This window comes from Homo sapiens, chromosome 6 (assembly GCF_000001405.40).
Source record: "Homo sapiens chromosome 6, GRCh38.p14 Primary Assembly".
NCBI lineage: Eukaryota > Metazoa > Chordata > Mammalia > Primates > Hominidae > Homo > Homo sapiens.
In genome coordinates, this window is record NC_000006.12 from 13,237,992 (window position 1) to 13,257,628 (window position 19,637).

The 19,637-nt window shown below is 43.5% G+C and overlaps 1 protein-coding gene across 20 annotated transcripts in view, besides 1 other annotated feature; it reads left to right on the forward strand.

Moving 5' to 3' along the window:
* PHACTR1 (phosphatase and actin regulator 1) overlaps positions 1 to 19,637 on the forward strand; it is a 571,071-nt gene that overhangs the window by 521,225 nt on the left and 30,209 nt on the right. Inside the window, exon 12 of one of the 20 annotated variants that reach the window (NM_001374582.1) lies at positions 15,013 to 15,435. The exons of the other annotated variants lie outside the window; for them this stretch is intronic. Coding sequence (NP_001361511.1) covers positions 15,013 to 15,058 — 46 coding nt within the window. The 3' untranslated portion in view covers positions 15,059 to 15,435. Of the gene's footprint in view, positions 1 to 15,012; positions 15,436 to 19,637 lie in introns of those variants that run through there. 20 annotated transcript variants of the gene reach the window in all.
* Positions 10,086 to 10,380: an enhancer, noted in NCBI's record as "tiled region #805; HepG2 Activating non-DNase unmatched - State 8:EnhW". NCBI's record gives its function as "activates a minimal TATA promoter and a strong SV40 promoter by Sharpr-MPRA in HepG2 cells {active_cell/tissue: HepG2}" and the evidence as "EXISTENCE:reporter gene assay evidence [ECO:0000049][PMID:27701403]".

Here is a 19,637-nt window from a genome sequence, read left to right on the forward strand (position 1 = left end):
TTTGTGTGGATTGATTGTTAATCAGTATGCCATATTCCTAAAAATGAGCACTTGCTCCAGGTCTTTGTTTTAGGAATTTAGTTAGCTTGCTGCAGAATGTCTACAAGTGACTCCTGAAGAACACATTAATTTGGTTGAGGCTGGTGAAGTAGCGTCACTGCTTTCTTTTCCTTAACACCCACAGCCTGGGAATCAGACGGGTTTAAGGTTAAAGCACCTAGTGACGCTGATAGCTTCAATCTACACTGAAGGCGTGGAAACTGGCACTAAGCCCCATGGGGTAGATCAGATGTAGTTTTCTCCTTCGTAAAGGACCGAAATTCTTCCTCTTTTCTCTCCTCCTCACTACTTTATCATTACTGTGACTTAGTGAATGAGATAGTGAGATAATAGTCTGATCATCTCCATGAAACCTAGTATGTTACTCTGTCTTATTTAGAATTTCATAATATGCTAGATAGAAAAAGTATCCTAAATCTGTATTTTATACTCCTAAGTAGTCTACACCATTGTTGCTATAAGCAGAATATGAAATAATATGTACCAAGGATTATGCGCTGCTTTAAATCATGGTACGGTGTTCAAGAGAGAAAATTGAAATCCATTTTTTATGCTTGTAGCACAGGCAATAAAATACAGTAATCTTGACTTCTAAATGTAGTTTGGGTAGTGTTTATGGTTGGGGAAAATTGGTGCGGTGAGTCTGACACACCGACACCTAGCTCCAAAGTGCCAAATAGTGTCTCCCCAGGAATCTAAGGACTAATGCTGAGTGTGAGCTGGCATCTCCCCTGGCTAGGTAATTTCTTCTGCTGCAGAAACACTTTCTAAAAATAGGAATAACAATAAAAGGCTCTATGATGTCAATTCAACTTGGACTTACTTAGTGTCCCTGGATACGTGTCACTGTGAATTACCACTCCAAAGAAAAAAGGAAGGAAAATAGACTGGAGTGAAGTTTTAGAGGCCATGCTTGTAGGCCTAGCCCTTGAGGTTGTGCGCCATTATCATCACCATCATCATCCTCCTCCTCATCCTCATCTTCATCTCAGCTGTGGAGGAGCAGGGAGTGGGGCACAGCTTAGGGGGCACAGGAGAGAAACGGAAAGACCGCCCTGGTATTCGCTCATCTTCAGATCCACAAAGCCTGGGTGGGGGTGGCTCAGGCCAGGGAGACTTCCCATAAAACTGGGAGGATTCTGAGACCTCCCATAAAACTGAAGGAAGACGCCAGTCACCAAACTGAAATTGTGTGTTGGGAGCAAGTCAGGTCAGGGTGAGCATAACTTGAATGTATTTATTGAGTTCTACAACATTTGTACCACAAATGCGTGGACTTCGTGTAGCTAAGCTGCTTTCAGGTAATTTGACATCTTTTATGAACTCACTGCACGCAATAGAAAATCCTTTTTGAGAGCTCTTTGGGAATGCTGACATCTTCTGAAAGGTGCTCAGATGAGCTCAGGCTATAGCACTACCTGTTTGATAGAAAGTTAAAGAAACCACATGTTCGCTGGGGCTTATTTAAAAAAAAAATCAATGGAAGGTGAGAAAGCTGTCTGGATAAGAAGACTTGAGCAAGACGCATTGGAAGGAGGTAGAATAAAACTTCAAAACCACACATGTAGAGGTTCTGGCATTGAGCCATGGGTCACAGCCATCACAGGGACCTACAGCCATTGAACATGTCTCAGAGCCCTTGCAGGGATCTGCATGGCCTCTTGCCCTCTTACCCAGCCTCTAGCTGTTAAGAGCTACAGCAAAGACTGAACTCTTGACATCCTGTTGCTAGGACAGAGTTTCTGAGCCTCGACTCTGTGTGTATGTCCATGCCTGTGTGTCAGGAGGAGAGGAGGCCCCGTCTGCAAGCCCAGTACCGCATGTTGAGGAGCAGAGCCACATCTTGGAGAGCACCGTTAGTTCTCTGCATCTGTGACTTGCGGCTGCCCCGGCAGTCTGTACATTTTTCAGTGATACAGTAAGTGTGGTGGACAAAGAGCTGCCTTTTACCCAGTGGGAACACAATCGATCTTAGTGTTTAAACTTGCAAAGTTTCTTTAAAAAAAAAAAAAAGTGGCCATTCTTGGAGGTTGTGAGTCTTACTTTGTTTTATATTTCATAGCTTTTTTAAACAACTGATTATTCCAGCAGCATTTCAAATTTTGGGTGCAGGGGGTGGGGAGAGCACAGCTATACTCAACTGCAGACTAAGCAGGGAATGGATGAATCTTCTGGGCTGCATGGTCACATTTTAAGAGGCTCTTCTTAGGGTAGATGAAGAGGAAGCTTCAAAGACTGGGCTGTTTATTACTCACAGCAACTTTTTGTTCTCAGGTGATTTTCCCCTAATCTGTAATGATTGTTCTTGTTTGTTAATCTAAGCAGAAGGCAGAAGAAAGGCTGTGTTTCTTAGGATATTCGTTGTGGGTTTTTTTTTGTTGTTGTTTTTTTGTTTTGTTTTGTTTTGTTTTGAGATGGAGTCTGACTTTGTTGCCCAGGCTGGAGTGCAGTGGCGCAATCTTGGCTCACTGCAACCTCCACCCGCCCCAGGTTCAAGTGATTGTCGTGCCTCAGCCTCCCAAGTAGCTGGGACTACAGGAGTGTGCCACCACACCTGGCTAATTTTTGTATTTTTAGTAGAAATGGGGTTTTGACCTGTTGGTTGGGCTGGTCTCAAACTCCTGGACTCAAGTGATCCGCCCACCTCAGCCTCCTAAAGAGCTGGGATTACGGGCATGAACCACTGTACCCAGCCAGGATATTTGGCTAAGTGAAAGAAGAATCAATCCATCTACATTTAAAGACCTCTCAGGGCGAAGGTCCCTGATACGTGCCATTTATAACTTTAAAGCCTGTTGCTGTAGATAAAGTGTTTCCCCATCAGCACCTCATCTAATAATCTCCATGCAACCCTGCAAGGTGGCCGCTACTGGGAATCCCATTCTGTAGATGAGGAAACTGAACCAATGATCTCAGAGATGATAAAGGGCAAAGAGAAGCACATCTTCTAAATCCAGGGTTTTCCTATTTCTGGCAAACCCACTGGAAAAAATGTGTAGTTTGGTTGAGTTTTTATGTTGAACAGAGCTTCCCTCCCAAGGACCTGTGGTTTGGTAGGTATCTTGGTGGACTGTAGAGTTCCACAGTGGCAGTGGGTCAAGCTATGTGCAAATGTACTCAAGGGAGAGATAAGGCATGGAATGAAGAAGAGGAAAGGAGATGTTCTTCTATCTCGGGCTTAACTGGGCTTTTTTATTGCATTTCAGTAATACCTGTGCCTGTTGCAATGTGGGGAACAGAGGTCCAATGCAGTGGTTCTCCTGGTGTGGCCCTTGGGCTAATGGCATCAGCATCCCCTGGGAATTTGTTGAAAATGCATATTCTCAGGCCCCACCCCAGACCCAGAATCAGAAATTCTTGGGCCGGGTGGGAGGTGGCGTGCAGGAATCTGCATTTTAACCAGCATGATTCTGATGCACACTAAAGTTTGAGAAGCAATGGGCTAGTAAGAAGAGAAATCAAAGACTTTGGAGCTGGACCTGAGCTTGAAAGCTCTTCACCACTTACTAGCTGGGCCCCTGTCAAGCCTTAGTTTCCACATCTGTAAAACGGACCTCCCACACAAGGTCATCCAGAGCACCAAATGAGTAAGACTTTCAACTGTAGTAGATAATGAATGCTAGTTCCTTCCCTCTCCTGGTGAGTCTGAATACTGTATCATGCTCGACTCTTATTAGAAAAAGTAATGCTGGGTGGGCGCAGTGGCTCACACCTGTAATCCCAGCATTTTGGGAGGCCGGGGCAGGTGGATCACTTGATATCAGGAGTTCAAGACCAGCCTGGCCAACAAGGTAAAACCCCATCTCTACTAAAAATGCAAAAAAAAAAAAACCTAGCCAGGTGTGGTGGCACAGGCCTGTAGTCCCAGCTACTTGGGAAGCTGAGGCAGGAGAATCGCTTGAACCCAGGAGATGGAGGTTGCAATGAGCTGAGTTTGCACCACTGCACTCCTCCGGTCTGGGCAACAGAGTGAGATTCTGTCTCAAAAAAAAAAAAAAAAAAAAGGAATAAGTAATGCTAGTTGCCCTAACAGGAAAATCCTAAATCCCAGTCACCTAAAGCAGCAAAGGTTTATTTCTCACTGGAGTTAAGCCTAATGTGGATCTGGTAGCCTTGATCCGTCAGATAGCCATTACATGCTTCTAGAACACATGACTCCAATCTCAATAGCAAGGGAAGAGCAGGCAGAGGAGGCACACACATCACTTCTGCTCACAGTCCATTCATCAGAACCCAATCTCACTTCAAGGGAGTGTGGAAAACATAGAGAAGCACACGCAGTGTTGGATGAGCGTAAAGGACCTTTTCCACAATTCCACTGAGCCTACAGTTGCCACACAGGTCTTTAGGTCATGATTCTTGCACTTGTGTAAAGGGACTGTCACAGCTATAAGAGACTTGATTAAAAGACTTTCCACAATTAGCAGTTGGAATTCAGGGGCACCAGGTACATCTGAATGGAGCATATCACCTGGATTGCCAGAGGGGTCTGTCTTGGGGCGAGTACATGGAGGTCACTAATGCCCATGGTCTATATCAATGAATTTGCACCTAAGGCTAAGTTTAGTAAAGCAACTTATGGAAATCAAAATGATCTCAATTTGAGAAAACAGACTCAAAAAAATCAACATTGCTTTTGCTTTAAAGGAAAAACTAGCTTAACTACAACTGAGAAATCACAAAAAGGAACAGTGGACTTTGAGCTCGAGTGAGTTTGTTTTATATGAGTTTAAGGTTAAATTTCCAGGGAAACAAGTTACTAAGGGAGAACATGGGAACCTCAGCTTCAGCCAGTTGATTCAGTTGGAAACTATTGATTAAGCACCAACTGTGTGCACAGCTCTGTAATGGGTGTTATTTAAAAGGTAGCTAGATAATTATGCTTCTCAGAAGGTTTAGATGAGTGAGTCAAAGTATGCTTACTGTTTTCTGCTTTCAACTGGAAAAGACACAGCAAGTTCCATGAAGAAGGCGCAGATCTCTCTGTAGCAAATTCTTTTATGGGTGTGAATGTATTTTAGATTATTTCTCTTGCCATTTTTTTTTCCTTTAAAATATCCCCCAAAAGAATGGGAATGAGTCAGGGCTCTGATCATGTAAACACTGAATAATCTGAACATCTGATTCTGAGGTTTTTTTCCTCTTAAACTTGTGCATTAATGTGAACAACTTCAACTTGAGTTGTCAGACCACTTTTTTTTTTTTTTTTGCGAGATGTTCTTTTTTTCTTTTCTACAACCTTATAACCACTTATGAGCTTAAAACAGCCACAAAGATGTGTCATTTCTCTCATAATTTTACCATGAAAGGATTTCTCAGTCACTTGTGAACTTACCAGGAGGCAATGAATAAACTCTGATTTAAATCATTTTATGAAGCATCCAAATAATGGCCTAAACCTTGGTTAAAAGGTGATTTTACTGCAGGGAATATTCAAATATCTCATCTAGGCCTTTCAGACTGGCTCAGAGATTTTTGTCACTGTGTGGACCTTGGGCCTATGACTTGTTGGAAACTCTTTAATGAGTTTCTTTTAAAAGAAAAAAAAAACCTTAGGTTCAAGGGTACACGTACAGGTTTATTATAGAGATAAATTCCATATAGTGGGGGTTTGGTTTACAAATTATTTTGTCACCCAGGTAATAAGCATAGTACCTGATAGGTAGTTTGGTAGTTTTTTGATCCTCAACCTGCTCCTACCCTCCACCCTCATGCAGGCCCCAGTGCCTGTTGCTTCCTTTTTTGTGTCTTTGTGTACTCAGTGTTTAGATCCTACTTGTAAGTGAGAACATGTGGTATTTGGTTTTCTGTTCCTGTGTTAGTTTGCTAAGGATGATGGCCTCCAGCTCCATCAGTGTTACTGCAAAGAACATGATCTCATTCTTTTTTATGGCTGCATAGTATTCCATGGTGTATATGTACCACATTTTCTTTATCCAGTCTGCCATTGATGGGTATTTTTTCAGGGGACCTGCCCCGATAATCACGTAGGTTCTTTTCTAGTTTCCCTAAGCATCGGCTGGCTTGAGAAATAAAGGGACAGAGTACAAAAGAGAGAAATTTTAAAGCTGGGCGTCCGGGGGAGACATCACACGTTGGTAGGATCCATGATGCCCCACAAGCCACAAAAACCAGCAAGTTTTTATTAGGGGTTTTCAAAAGGGGAGGGAGTGCGCGAATAGGTGTCGGTGACAGACATCAAGTACTTAACAGGGTAATAGAATATCACAAGGCAAGTGGAGGCAGGGCGAGATCACAGGACCACAGCTGCCAGGCGAAATTAAAATTGCTAATGAAGTTTCGGGCACCATTGTCATTGATAAAACATCTTATCAGGAGACAGGGTTTTGAGATCAACCAGTGTGACCAAAATTTATTAGGTGAGAATTTCCTCTTCCTAATAAGCCTGGGAGCGCTATGGGAGACAAGTTTATTTCACCCCTGCAGTCTCAACCATAAGAGACAGGTACGCCCCGGGGGGCCAGTTCAAGTTCAGAGACCTAACCCTAGCTGCACATTCTCTTTCTCAGGGATATCCCCTGCTGAGAAAAAGAATTCAGCGATATTTCTCCCATTTGCTTTTGAAGGAAGAGAAATATGGCTCTGTTCTGCCCGGCTCACCGGCAGTCAGAGTTTAAGTTTCTCTCTCTTATTCCCTGAACAATTGCTGTTATCCTGTTCTTTTTTCAAGGTGCCCACATTTCATATTGCTCAAACACACATGCTGTACAATTTGTGCAGTTAATGCAATTATCACATAGTCCTGAGGCGACATACATCCTCCTCAGCTGACAGGATTAAGAGATTAAAGTAAAGACAGGCATAGGAAATCACAAGGGTATTGATTGGGGAAGTGATAAGTGTCCATGAAATCTTTACAATTTATGTTTAGAGATTGAGTAAAGACAGGCATAAGAAATTACAAAAGTATTAATTTGGGGAACTAATAAATGTCCGTAAAATCTTCACTATCCATGTTCTTCTGCCATGGTTTCAGCCGGTCCCTCTGTTTGGGGTCCCTGACTTCCCGCAACAGTATTTAGGTTGATTCCATGTCTTCACTGTGGGCAGTGAATAGTGCTGTGATGAACACACATGTGCATGTGTCTTTATGGTAGAATGATTTCTGTTCCTTTGGGTATATACCCAGTAACGGGATTGCAAGGTCGACGGGTAATTCTGTTTTAAGTTCTTTGAGAAATAGCAACTGCTTTCCACAATGGCTGTTTACAATCCCACCAGTAGCATGTAAGCATTCTCTTTTCCCCACAACCTTGCCAGCATCTATTATTTTTTGACTTTTTAATAATAGACATTCTGACTGGTGTGAGATGATATGTGGTTTTGATTTGCATTTCTCTAATAATTAATGATGTTGAGCATTTTTTCATGTTTGTTGGCCACATGGATTTCTGTTTTTGTAAAGTGTCTGTTCATGTCCTTTTTAATGGGGTTGTTTGTTTTTTGCTTGTAAATTTAAGTTTCTTATAGATGCTGGATATTAGACCTTTGTTGGACGTATAGTTTGCAAATATTTTCTCCCATTCTGTAGCTTGTCTGTTTACTCTGTTGACAGTTTCTTTTGCTGTACAGAAGCTCTTTGGTTTAATTAGGTGCCATTTGTCAATTTTTTTTTTCGTTGCAATTGCTTTTGGCATCTTCATGAAATCTTTGCCAGGTCTTGTGTTCAGAATGGTATTTCCTAGGTTATCTTCCAGGGTTTTTATAGTTTTAGGTTTTAAGTCTTTTAATCTATCTCGAGTTGATTTTTGTATATGGTGTAAGGAGCAGGTCCAGTTTCAATCCCCTGCATATAGCTAGCCAGTTATCCCAGTTCTTTGGTGAGTTTCTTCACCCACTTCACAACTGTATCATTAGGATCTCAGAGTGTAATAGAACATTTTAGAACTTAAATGGACATTTACTATCACTGCATCTAGCCTTAATTTTACAGGTAAATGGCTGATAGAGGCTACACTACTAGCCAAGTTCACACAGTAATTTCTGACAAACTAGGATTTAAAATAAAGTCCTCTGACCCAGTCGGTGCTTAAAATTAATATCTCTCAAAAAAGAGAGAGAAATAGATCATGTTTTACTGGAATAAACAGGCCAGTTGTTAGTTAGCAACCATAACAACTCATATATCTTCGTTGATTTTCTCAAAAGAAAAATAAATAATGTGGAGGTTTTGAATGAAATCTTTAAAAAACATATTCAGTTATCAAAAGGCCCATGTAAAAGGAATCCTTGAATTCTCCCACAGATACATTCTTTCACGGCCACCATGATCTTCCTTGATCCCACTTAGCCAAAAGAACACTGAAATTAAATGTGCGAGCGAAAGATGTTTCCCTACCTGGATGGCTGATGGTTCATTACAGCTGAGCAAAGTCTCATTAATCATTTTGAAAACTAGGCAGGTACTCTGGAAAATTCTTTTGCTGGTACCTTAATTTAGAGTTGGCCTATTCTTGTGATTCTTTCAAATGATAAGTGAAACTCTAATCATGTATACTTATTAAGAATTATCTGTTCTTTGTTTCAGTGGTGAAGTTGGCATTTCCAGTCTATAATTTCCATTGCATATAGTGCTCTTTCTCCCTCACCCACCAAATTTGGCTTCAGGCTTGATGGGATGTGATTTTTCTGTAGCCCCTATACAGAGCTTGCACATGGACCTGAATATTTAAAGAGCAGAACGAGATTACAACTGAGAAATTTGCAGTACAGTTGTTCTTCACGTGTCCCCATGTATCTTTGTTTACTGGCAAAACACCTCGAATCTCATGCAAAATGCTAATAGGAATAATTCATTTTATTTATCTTCATTATGATCATTTCACTCCTCTTGGGATGCCAAGACTTTTATAATGGCCTCAAAAATTGCATACATGCCTAACTAAATAGTAATTTTGAGGCAGAATGTAAACAGGGAAAAGCATCCAAAGATACAACCCTGGAAAATCACTTTTCCTCTAATTCTAAAAGCAATTCCTTTGAAATATAAGTGAATACACTTCTATTTTAGGAAGTGTGTTCATGAAAATTTGATCTTCTGTGCCCTTCAACTCATTAAAACAACAGTTATTCAAAATGGGCAGCCTCTTTAGTGTCTTTGAAAAGAAATAGGTAGACAGATAAACAGTGGGTGCAGACAGGTCATCAGTGTATTGAAAAGAGGTTTGCCTCTCCTGTAAATCCAACCGTCCTTTCGACTGTTAGGATTTTCCTCATTTTGCTAATCTTCACATTGTAACTTATCAAGTTCCCTCGTGTGTGTGTGTGTGTGTGTGTGTGTGTGTGTGTGTGTGACGGAGTTTCATTTTTGTCCCCCAGGCTGGAGTACAGTGGTGCCATCTCGGCTCATTGCAACCTCCGCCTCCTGGGTTAAAGCGATTCTCCTACCTCAGCCTCCCAAGTAGCTGAGATTACAGGCGCCAGCCACCATGCCTGGCTAATTTTTGTATTTTTAGTAGACACGGGGTTTTACCACATTGGCCAGGCTGATCTCGAACTCCTGACCTCAGGTGATCCGCCCGCCTTGGCCTCCCAAAGTGCTGGGATTACAGGTGTGAGCCACCGTGCCCAGCCCAAGTTCCCTCTTAAAAGATGCCAAGACAGATAATTGCATCTTCCTATACACTAACATGACATTGTGGAAGCTAGGCATGCACCTATAGCCCCAGCTGCTCGGGAGACTGAAGCTAGAGAATCACTTGAGGTCAGGACTTCGAGGTTGTAGTCTGCGATGATCAAACCTGTGAATAGCCACTGCACTCCAGCCTGGGCAACATAGTGAGACCCTGCCTCTTTAAAAAAAAACAAAAATTTTAAATGACGTTATGAAGGAGCTACCATCGACAAATTTGGTTCAACCAATGAATCTACCACCTGCCCATTCTACCCAAAGAAGCCTGGTTAATGTGGCATTTCAGGTGAAGCCCTCAGCACATCCTCCTTCAATTACTCGGCACTGCCTTTATATTCATGGAACTGTGAGCAGGCAGCTTCTCCCTGAAGCCTGCCATATCAGTACAGCACATCCTTGAAGCATCTCTGCTGAGCAGCCTTGGCCCTCGTTGTGGTGGTTCTCTGTCAAGTTTCCCTCTCTCTTCACAGTTCTTAATGAACAGAGCCATCTGGGGCCACAGCCTGTGAAATCTGATTCTCTTCCCACAGTCAGCAAACAGAGCCACTGGGATATGCTCAGGCAGCTCCCAGGAGGAAACCGTAAATGCATATAGCTTTGTCTAGGCAGAAATAAAGTGAGCTCATTCATTCAAAACAAAACAATGAAAAACATTGTATCACGTCAGCTGCAGGCTACCTAATTAGTTAAAATGTATCATAAATGTGTATCACATATTAAGTGATCTCTATGCATTAATTTGTTGATAATATAGCATCGAGGTATTTATAAAATTCTATGGAACATGTTTTGAACTTGAAAACTCGTCATTTCTATAAAATCTTTCAAACTGCCTGTTTGGCAAATAAACTTGATATAGGGGGAAATTCTGGTCTCTTGTGTGTGATCACGGTTATCCTCATGTTGAGGTGATCGCAAAGCCCCAAAGTGAGAGACCCTGTTAGAGGAGATAAATCATCATTGTAAGGCCAATTAGTAGACGGGGCAATAACTCATATTGGGAGAAGCATGCCTTTAGCTGCCGTAAGTGGAGGAACTCACAGCTGCAGCCACATCCCTGCAGCTCTGATCTGACTGCAGAGCTACCAAAAATCTAATCTGCATGTGTGGGCTAAAGCACAAGCAAGGGACAGAAGACTGGAAGCCACAGCGGAGAGAAAGTTGGCATAAAAAGCACTCTGCAAACATCAAAATCGCGTGCCAACTAAGCAAAGCCAATGCATAAGCTATAATGTCTTCTAGATATTTTATTGAGAGTGATAAGGATGATGAAGAACGAGAGGAGGAGAAGTTAGGTCTTCCGTCCTCCCTTGCCAGCCACAGTTCCTAACTGTACCATTTTTAAAGGTTTGATTAACTGTTCGTGGCTTATCAGCATTATTCTTTGCAGCCTTTTGGCCATGCTCGTGTAGGGGTGCCCAAACCCCCAGGCTGTGGACTGGTATCAGTCTGTGGCCTGTTAGGAAACAGGCCCCACAGCAGGAGATGAGTGGCGGGAGTGAGCATTACTGCCTGAGCCCTGCCTCCTGCCAGATCAGTGGCGGCATTAGATTCTCAGAACTGTGCATGTGAGGGATCTCGGTTTCACGTTCCTTATGAGACTCTAACTTACGCCTGATGATCTGAGGTGGAATCACCCCAACCCCTGAAACCACCTTGCCCCCAAACCCCCATCCATAGAAAAATTGTCTTCCATGAAACCAGTCCCTGGTGCCAAAAAGGTTGGGGACAGCTGGTCTAGTGTGTTAAAGGCCCCAGAAGATTACATTTTTCTGGTCAGGGGTATGAACTACACTAAAATGTGTGGTGATTAAGCCGGGCGTGGTGGCTCATGCCTGTAATCCCAGCACTTTGGGAGGCCAAGGCAGGTGGATCACCTAAGGTCAGGAGTTCAAGACCAGCCTGGCTAACATGGTGAAACCTCATGTCTACTAAAACTACAAAAATTAGCCGGATGTGGTGGCAGGCGCCTGTAATCCCAGCTACTCAGGAGGCTGAGGCAGGAGAATCACTTGAACCTGGGAGGCGGAGGTTGCAGTGAGCCAAGATTGCACCACTGCACTCCAGCCTGGGCAACAGAGAAAACTCCGTCTCAAAAAAAAAAAAAAAAAAAAAGTATGGTGACTAAAGAATCACCTATTTCATTTTTCATTGGGAAACCAAAATAATTTCCGTCTTGTAAGTTATGACCATTTATGTGGTTCTGCTCCACTGGCTGATGCTTCAAGGAAATAGTTTTCAGACATTGGTGACACTCCATGGTAGGGGCCCACCAGTTGTGGCCCACAGACTGAACCCACCCCACTCTCTGTCTTTGTCAATAAAGCTTTATTGGAACACAGTTACACTCATTCATTTACCTGCTCTCTGTGGCTGCTTACACACCATAATGGCAGAGTTGAGTAGCTGCAACAGAAACTGTATGGCCCACAAACCCAAAGTATTTACTATCTGGCCCTTTGAAGAAAAAAGAAATGAGACATTTAAGGACCTAGACTGAGGACATTAGAGAATGTGGCCTTCCTCTCACAGTGCTGATCCTAGATCTATTTAGAAAGTGCATGTGCCCGAAATATCTCCATTAGAGAAAGAAACTAAATTCATCCTCACACACATAGGGATTTCCTTTGTGCTCATTACTCTAATCATCAAAATAATCCCATTTACCTTTACTTCTTAGTCCAGATCCGCCTGTGAAGCATCATATAGCATACAGATTATGCTGGGAATACGGTCCAGTTTTTCAAACTTGATTTATTACCTGAGCAGTTAGAAAAGCTACTTCAAGGACAACCAGGTATCATTGAAAGCAGCTCAGCTCAGCTGCCGGCCAGATAAGAAGGGGCTGGCTGTGCAGACAGACTGAGAGAAGGAATCTGTGTAAGCAGAAAATGTATGTTGTCCTTAAGAAAGGAAGGCCACAGCCATGCCATGCAGGCTTAGCTTGAAAATAAATATCAGCAGGTGTGAGAAGTATGTTCCTGTTTTTGCAGCTGAAGCTAGATTCCAAGTCCTGCAGGAAAAGGTGGGGGCTGGAAGGAGGGTCGCCAACGAGTAAGAGCCAGATACTAAAACATGACTCCTTGGGCGCAAGACAGGTCTGGGCGCAAGACAGGTCTATCCTCAAGACAGGTGGTGCACAAATGGAGTGTTACACAGATAGGAAGAGATGTGGCAAGAGCTCTGGCAAATTGCAAAACCGTGGAATATGCTTGGGATGTGTGTAACACTGTGGTGAAGAGAGGCTGACAAATCCTCTACATGACACTTATTGTATGAAGAAAACATATCCATTTTACACACACACACACACACAATCAATCTTCTGATCAGTGAAAGGAGCTACTGACAGTGGTCCCTGTGCATCGTCCACATGCCTCTCCCATGAGTGGCAGCCACCTGAGAAGGGCAGCTTTCAGGGCCCCGAGTGGCTGTGTGTCCCTGTCTGCTGTGGGTAGGATTCTGCCTGCCAGGCACACTCAGCCTCCCAGTGACCTCTTGTTAGAGACACATCGGGTGGGATGCTGGCCATAGGCGGGCGCTCTCCTAGAAGGGGGAGATGGCTCCTGTGACTGAGGGGAACGTTACACAATCAGTCGTTCCCTCAGGATGGAGGCAGGTGTTTATCTTCACTGCAGGAGTTGGTTTGTCTGGTGCTCCCTGAGAGGGACATTACGGTCACGGGTGCAGGGCTGCAAATAGGATCTGTCCAGGTTCTCACCGGCCTCCAGCTGGGGCATTTCAGCATCAAGAAACTGCCTGCCCATGTGCTGGGGGCGCTGTGGTCTCTGATGTCTGTCTGGCCTCATATAGGGGAGGGTGGGGATGTATTCATGGTGCATGTGTGTGTTGAGTGTATTTGATGTGACCGGAATGTGAGAAAATAAAACAAAAAACCATAAGGAAGGGAAGAGAACACGGACTAATGTGTGCCAGGCTGAGCTCTGACAGTCCTATGGCAGATACCAGCTCTAAATTCAGCCTCTCTTTGAGTCTCCTATTTGAAAGCAGTTATCTGCGCTCTCAAGGGCTCTCTCTCAAGCCATTGAGTAGATTAGCTGAAGAATTAGTGAAAAATCATTTAAATTTATATATATAATAAGGGGATTGAGAGGCTGAGGCAGGAGGATTGCTTGAGGCCAGGAGTTCAAGACCAGCCTGAGCAACATAGCAAGATCCCCATCTCTACAAAAATTTAAAAATTAGCTGGGCATGGTGGCACACACCTATAGTCCCAGCTACTGGGGAGGCTGAAGTGGGAGGATCACTTGAGCTCAGCAGTTTGAGGCTACAGTGAGCTGTGATTGCACCACTGTACTCCAGCCTGAACAACAGAACAAGATCCTGCCTTAAAAAAAAAAAAAAGAAAGAAAGAAAGAAAAGGCCAGGAGGCACGGTGACTTATGCCCATAATCCCAGCACTTTGGGAGGCTGAGGTGGGCAGATCGCCTGAGCCCAGGGCAGATCGCTTAGACCAGCCTGAGCAACATGGCAAACCCCTGCCTTTACAAAAAAAAAAAAATAGAAAAAAAAAATTAGCCAGGTGCCTGGGAGTCAGAGGTTGCAGTGAATCAAGATCGTGCCACTGCAGTCCAGCCTGAGCAACGGAGCAAGATCCTGTCTCAAAAAAAAAAAAAAAAGAAAAAGGAAAGAAAGAAAAGAAAAAAGTCTAAAAAAGAAAAGGATAAAGTCTATTTGAAACTTCCATTTGACTCTCCATTTTCCATTCTTTTCCTTCTTTCCGTTTCCCATATAAATAGATCCTTTCCTGGATAAATAACTCATTCCATTATTTCCATTATTAAAATTCCATCTATCCTGATCTCATTATAATTAACCAATTTTCAAAGAATGCAAAAATACAAATCTACACTGGTTAGACATTCTTAAAATCTGCCATGCTGCTGTTATTAAAAAAAAAAAAAGTTTTGGGGGAGAGGAGAGGGGTCTCTTTGTTGTTGTGTCACATCTGCAGAAAAATGTATTTTGTGAAAGAGTATCGGCCGCAGGAAAACACTTAGAGATTAATGAGAGTATCTATATTCATACCATTCCTTTGGGCTACAAGGCTATTGGCTTAAAAATGAAGCTTTATGTTTAAATTTATGGACCATGGGTCAGGAAAGGTAGGGAAAATGAGACTTTTATTAAAGGAGAATTATAGAAAACTTAGCAAAATATTGCAGCCAAAACCCCCCTCCACTTGAGCATCTGAGATTCCTTGGGGTTTTTGTGTTTTCGTTTCCAGGTTTCTAAATAGCATGAGATCTCATCTGAACTTGAGTTGTTATTGTTTCCAGAAACAAGTTCAGAAGAGACTTTGGGAGACAGCTGGAAGGAAAATAGCTGTGGCCCCACTGAATGAGGAGGGAAAGGATCGGGATTCCTGCCACCCGTCTCCTGGCTTCTTCCCCACCCTCTATCCTCAGCCCTCTCCTTGGGAAGTATGATCGCCCCAAAATGAGAGATTGGCCCTTTGCGGGTGACATTTAAAACACATGAGCTGCACATGTTCTGTAGCTCCTAGGAGGAATCCACGTGTTGCAGTCAGAGAAAGACATGGAAGGAGGCACCTTGTTGCCTATTTTTAACGTTTCATCCCTTGCTTACCTTTGAAAAATGATTGGTGGGTGCATGTGTTGTTTATTGAGGCCCAACTAAGCACAGGCATTGGAGAAATCTAGAACCATGGTACTTTGTGAATAAATGAATGAATGATGACATTTTTCTGTTGTCTGGGCTGTGCATATCAACCTAACCACAATATTGCCTGTGACAGTCCCTCTCTATAGCAAACACCAGAACTTCCTCTCTTTATTTGATCACTCTTTGTCCTTGCCCCACAGTTCTGTAATCATCAGAAGCAACACTGCTTAGAGAAGTAAGGACAATAAGTACAGTGATACCTAGGGTAAGCCTTCAGTTAAGAAAAGGAAATCTGGATGTCCACCACCATCTGAATCTCAGCAAAAGACCTGCTTTAGACTCAGCAGAGCCTAAGCATGCCCACAGTGGTGGGCATGTTCGGTGGGTGTATCCTGGGTCCACCAGCAGTCTCCTTTCCTGCGGGAGGTCAGCTGCATGGACGTGGACATCTGTGCCTCCACATTGGGCAGTGGCAGTGATTAGGCATTGCTGGGAGACCTCACTGAAGGGCTAAGACAGTAAAGGAGGAAAATGCCCAATGCCATTTGATAATTGCAGGACTTGATTTGGGGCACACATTAGAAACCAACTGGGGTGGCTGGGTGCAGTGGCTCATGCCTGTAATCCCAGCATTTTGGGAGGCCAAGGCAGGCAGATTGCCTGAGGTCAGAAGTTCAAGACCAGCCTGGCTAACATGGTGAAACCCTATATCTACTAAAAATACAAAAATTAGCCAGGCGTGGTGGCACATGCCTGTAGTCCCAGCTACTCGGGAGGCTGAGGTGGGAGAATTACTTGAACCCGGGAGGCGGAGGTTGCAGTGAGCTAAGATTGCAACACCGCACTCCAGCCTGGGCAACAGAGCAAGACTCCATTTCAAAAATAAAATAAATATAAAATAAATTTAAAAAAAAACCAACTGGGGTATCCCAGAATTAATTGAGGTAATTTGCAAACATTAGAGGTTATGTATTTTTGTGACATGGAAAATTGTTATTTATAAGTCATCTGAATATTTTTTGGCTTAGTCCTCTTAGTTGGAGTATTGGGCCCAGTGTAACTCTCTATCCTTAAAGAGAAATGGTGCAAAGGTCATCTAATCTGATTGCCATTATCTGTCACTGTTGATCACCAGGATTGATGTGGTTATATGACTATCAAAGCAAGTGTCTCCTTCCTCTTTGGATATCCATAGTGTCCCAAATCTGAATACCTTCATCAAAAAGGAAGACGTTCTCTATCATGATCTTCCCATCAGTCAAGGTTCCAGCAGGAAACAGATGGCTCCTAATTATGATAACCTGAGGAGGGTTTATTTACAACAGAACTAATTATAAAGGTGTGGGCAGGCTTCAGAATCCTTCTCAACACAGAGCTCCAGGCTGCCTTTACCAACCAACCAGAGTTGACAAATGAACTGTACCTGTTTTTCAGTGTGACTCATGTAGATTACTGTTAGTTGCATCTTCCATAAGAGCCAAGAAAGCAATAGACTACTTATCTATTTTTATATAAAGACATTATAGATAGGAAATTCTTATATGCAACAAGTTAAGAGAGGACATAAATTCTGAACTGAGAAAGACCCACCTCTTAGCTCCCCAAGGCAGGAAAGCAACACATCTCTGTATTAGTCCATTCCTGCACTGCTATAAAGAAATGCTTGAGACTGGGTAATTTACAAAGAAAAGAGGTTTAATTGGCTTCTAATTCTGCAGGTTGCGCAGGAAACATAGCGGCTTCTGCTTCTGGGGAGGCCTCAGGAAATTTCCAATCATGGCAGGAAACAAAGTGGCTGCAATGTGTCATACATGCTAGGAACAGGAGCAAGAGGCAGTGAGGGGAAGATGCCACACACTTTTAAACAACCAGATCTCATGAGAACTCATTCACTATCAGGAGAACAACACCAAGGGGAAGGTGCTAACCCATTCATGAGAAACTGCTCCCATCATTCAATCACCTCCCACCAGGTCCCACCTCCAACACTGGGTATTACAATTGAACATGAGATTTGGGTAGGGACACAGATCCAAACCATATCATTCTGCCCCTGGCGCCTCCCAAATCTCATGTCCTTCTCATATTGCAAAATAAAATCATTCCTTCCCACCAATCCCCAGTCTTCACTCATTCCAACATTAACTCAAAAGTCTTATCTGAGACAAGGCTAGTCCCTTCTGCCTATGAACCTGTAAAATCAAAAACAAGTTAGTTATTTCCAAGATACATGGGGGTATAGGCATTGGGTAAATACTTCCATTCAAAAAGGGAGATATCAGCCAAAAGAAAGGGGCTACAGGCCCCATGTAAGTCCTAAACCTAGCAGGGCAGTCATTAAATCTTAATGCTCCTAAATCTCTTTTGACTCCATGTCCCACATCCCAGCCACACTGGTGTGGATGGTGGGCACCCAAAGCGTTGGCCAGTGCTGCCTCTGTGGCTTTTCAGGGTTTAGCCTCCACAGCTGCTCTCATGGACTGATGTTGAGTGCCTGTGGCTTTTCTCGGTACAGGGTGCAAGCTGCCAGTGGATCTTCTGGGGCCTAGAGGACAGTGGCCCTCTTCTTACAGCTCCACTAGGCAGTGCCCCAGTGGGGACTCTGTGGGGGGGGCTCCAACCCCACATTTTCCCTCTGCGCTGCCTTAGCAGAGGTTCTCCATGAGGGCTCTGCCCCTGCAGCAGGCTTCTGCCTGGACACCCAGGCTTTTCCATACATACTCTAAAGTCTAGGCCTCAACTCTTGTACTCTGAACACCCACAGCCTTACTACAATATGGAAGCCACCAAGGCGTACAGTTTGCACCCTCTGAAGCAGCAGCCTGAGCTGCACCTGGGCCCCTTTGAGCCATGGCTAGAGCTAGAGTGACTGAGATGCGGGGAGCAGTGTCCCAAGGCTGCACAGGGCAGCGGGGCCCTAGGCCTGGCCCATGAAACCATTCTTCCTTCCTAGGCCTCTGGGCCTGTGATGGGAGGAGCTGCTGTGAAGGTCTCTGAAGTGGCTTCCAGGTCTTTTCCCCATTGTCTTGGCTATTAGCACTTAGCTCCTTTTTACTTATGCAAATTTCTGCAGCCTACTTGAATTCCTCCCCTGAAAATGGGCTTTTCTTTTCTACCAAATGGCCAGGCTGCAAAGTTTCCACTTTTACCCTGTTTCCCCTTTAAATGTAAGTTCCAGTTTTAGGTCATCTTTTTGCTCATGCATGTCAGCATATATCATTAGAAGCAGCCAGGCTACATTTTGAATTTGGCTGCTTAGAAATTTCTTCTGCCAGATACTCTAAATCATCACTCTCAAGTTCAAAGTTCCACAGATCCCTAGGGCAGAGGCACAGTGCAGCCAAGTTCTTTACTAAAGCATAACAGAAGTGACCTTTGCCCCAGTTCCCAATAAGTTCCTCATTTCCATTTGAGATTTCATCATCCTGGCCTTCACTGTCCATATCACTTTGAGCATTTTGGTCACAAGCCATTCAACCAGTCTCTAGGAAGTTCCAAATGTTCCGTCATCTTCCTCTCTTCTTCTGAGCCCTACACACTCTTCCAATCTCTGTCCATTACCCAGTTCCAAAGTCACTTCCACATATCCAGGTATCTTTATAGCAATACCCTACTCCTCAGTTTCAAATTTCTGTATTAGCCTTTTCTCGAACTGCTACAAAGAAATACCTGAGACTGGGTAATTTTTAAAGAAAAGAGATTGAATTGGCTCCTGGTTCTGCAGGCTGTACAAGAAACCTAGCAGCTTCTGCTTCTGGGGAGTCCTCAGGAAGCTGCCAATCATGGCAGAAAACAAAGGGGGAGTGAGGCATCTGACATGGCAGGAGCAGGAGCAAGAGAGAGAGGAGGAGGTGCCACACACTTTTCAACAACCAGATCTCATGAGAACTCATTCACTATCAGGAGAACAGCACCAAGGGAATGGTCCTAAACCATTCATGAGAAACCACCCCCATGATCCAGTCACCTCCCACCAGGCTGCACCTCCAACACTGGGTATTACAATTGAACATGAGATTTGGGTGGGGACACAGATCCAAACCATATCAATCCCTAACTTCATAGAGTTTTATTATACATCATAATCATCTTTCTAATTCCCACCCATCCAGCACCTTATCTGGAAAACGTTCATCAGATATATCTTAAATCATATTGAATTAAGTAAAATGGAAATAAAATAAAATAAATAAAGGTTAAACCCATTGGTCTAAATCACAGCTCTTGACTCCTCTGGGATCTTCTTACTTCCACAGGATAGAACACAAATCTCACGTTT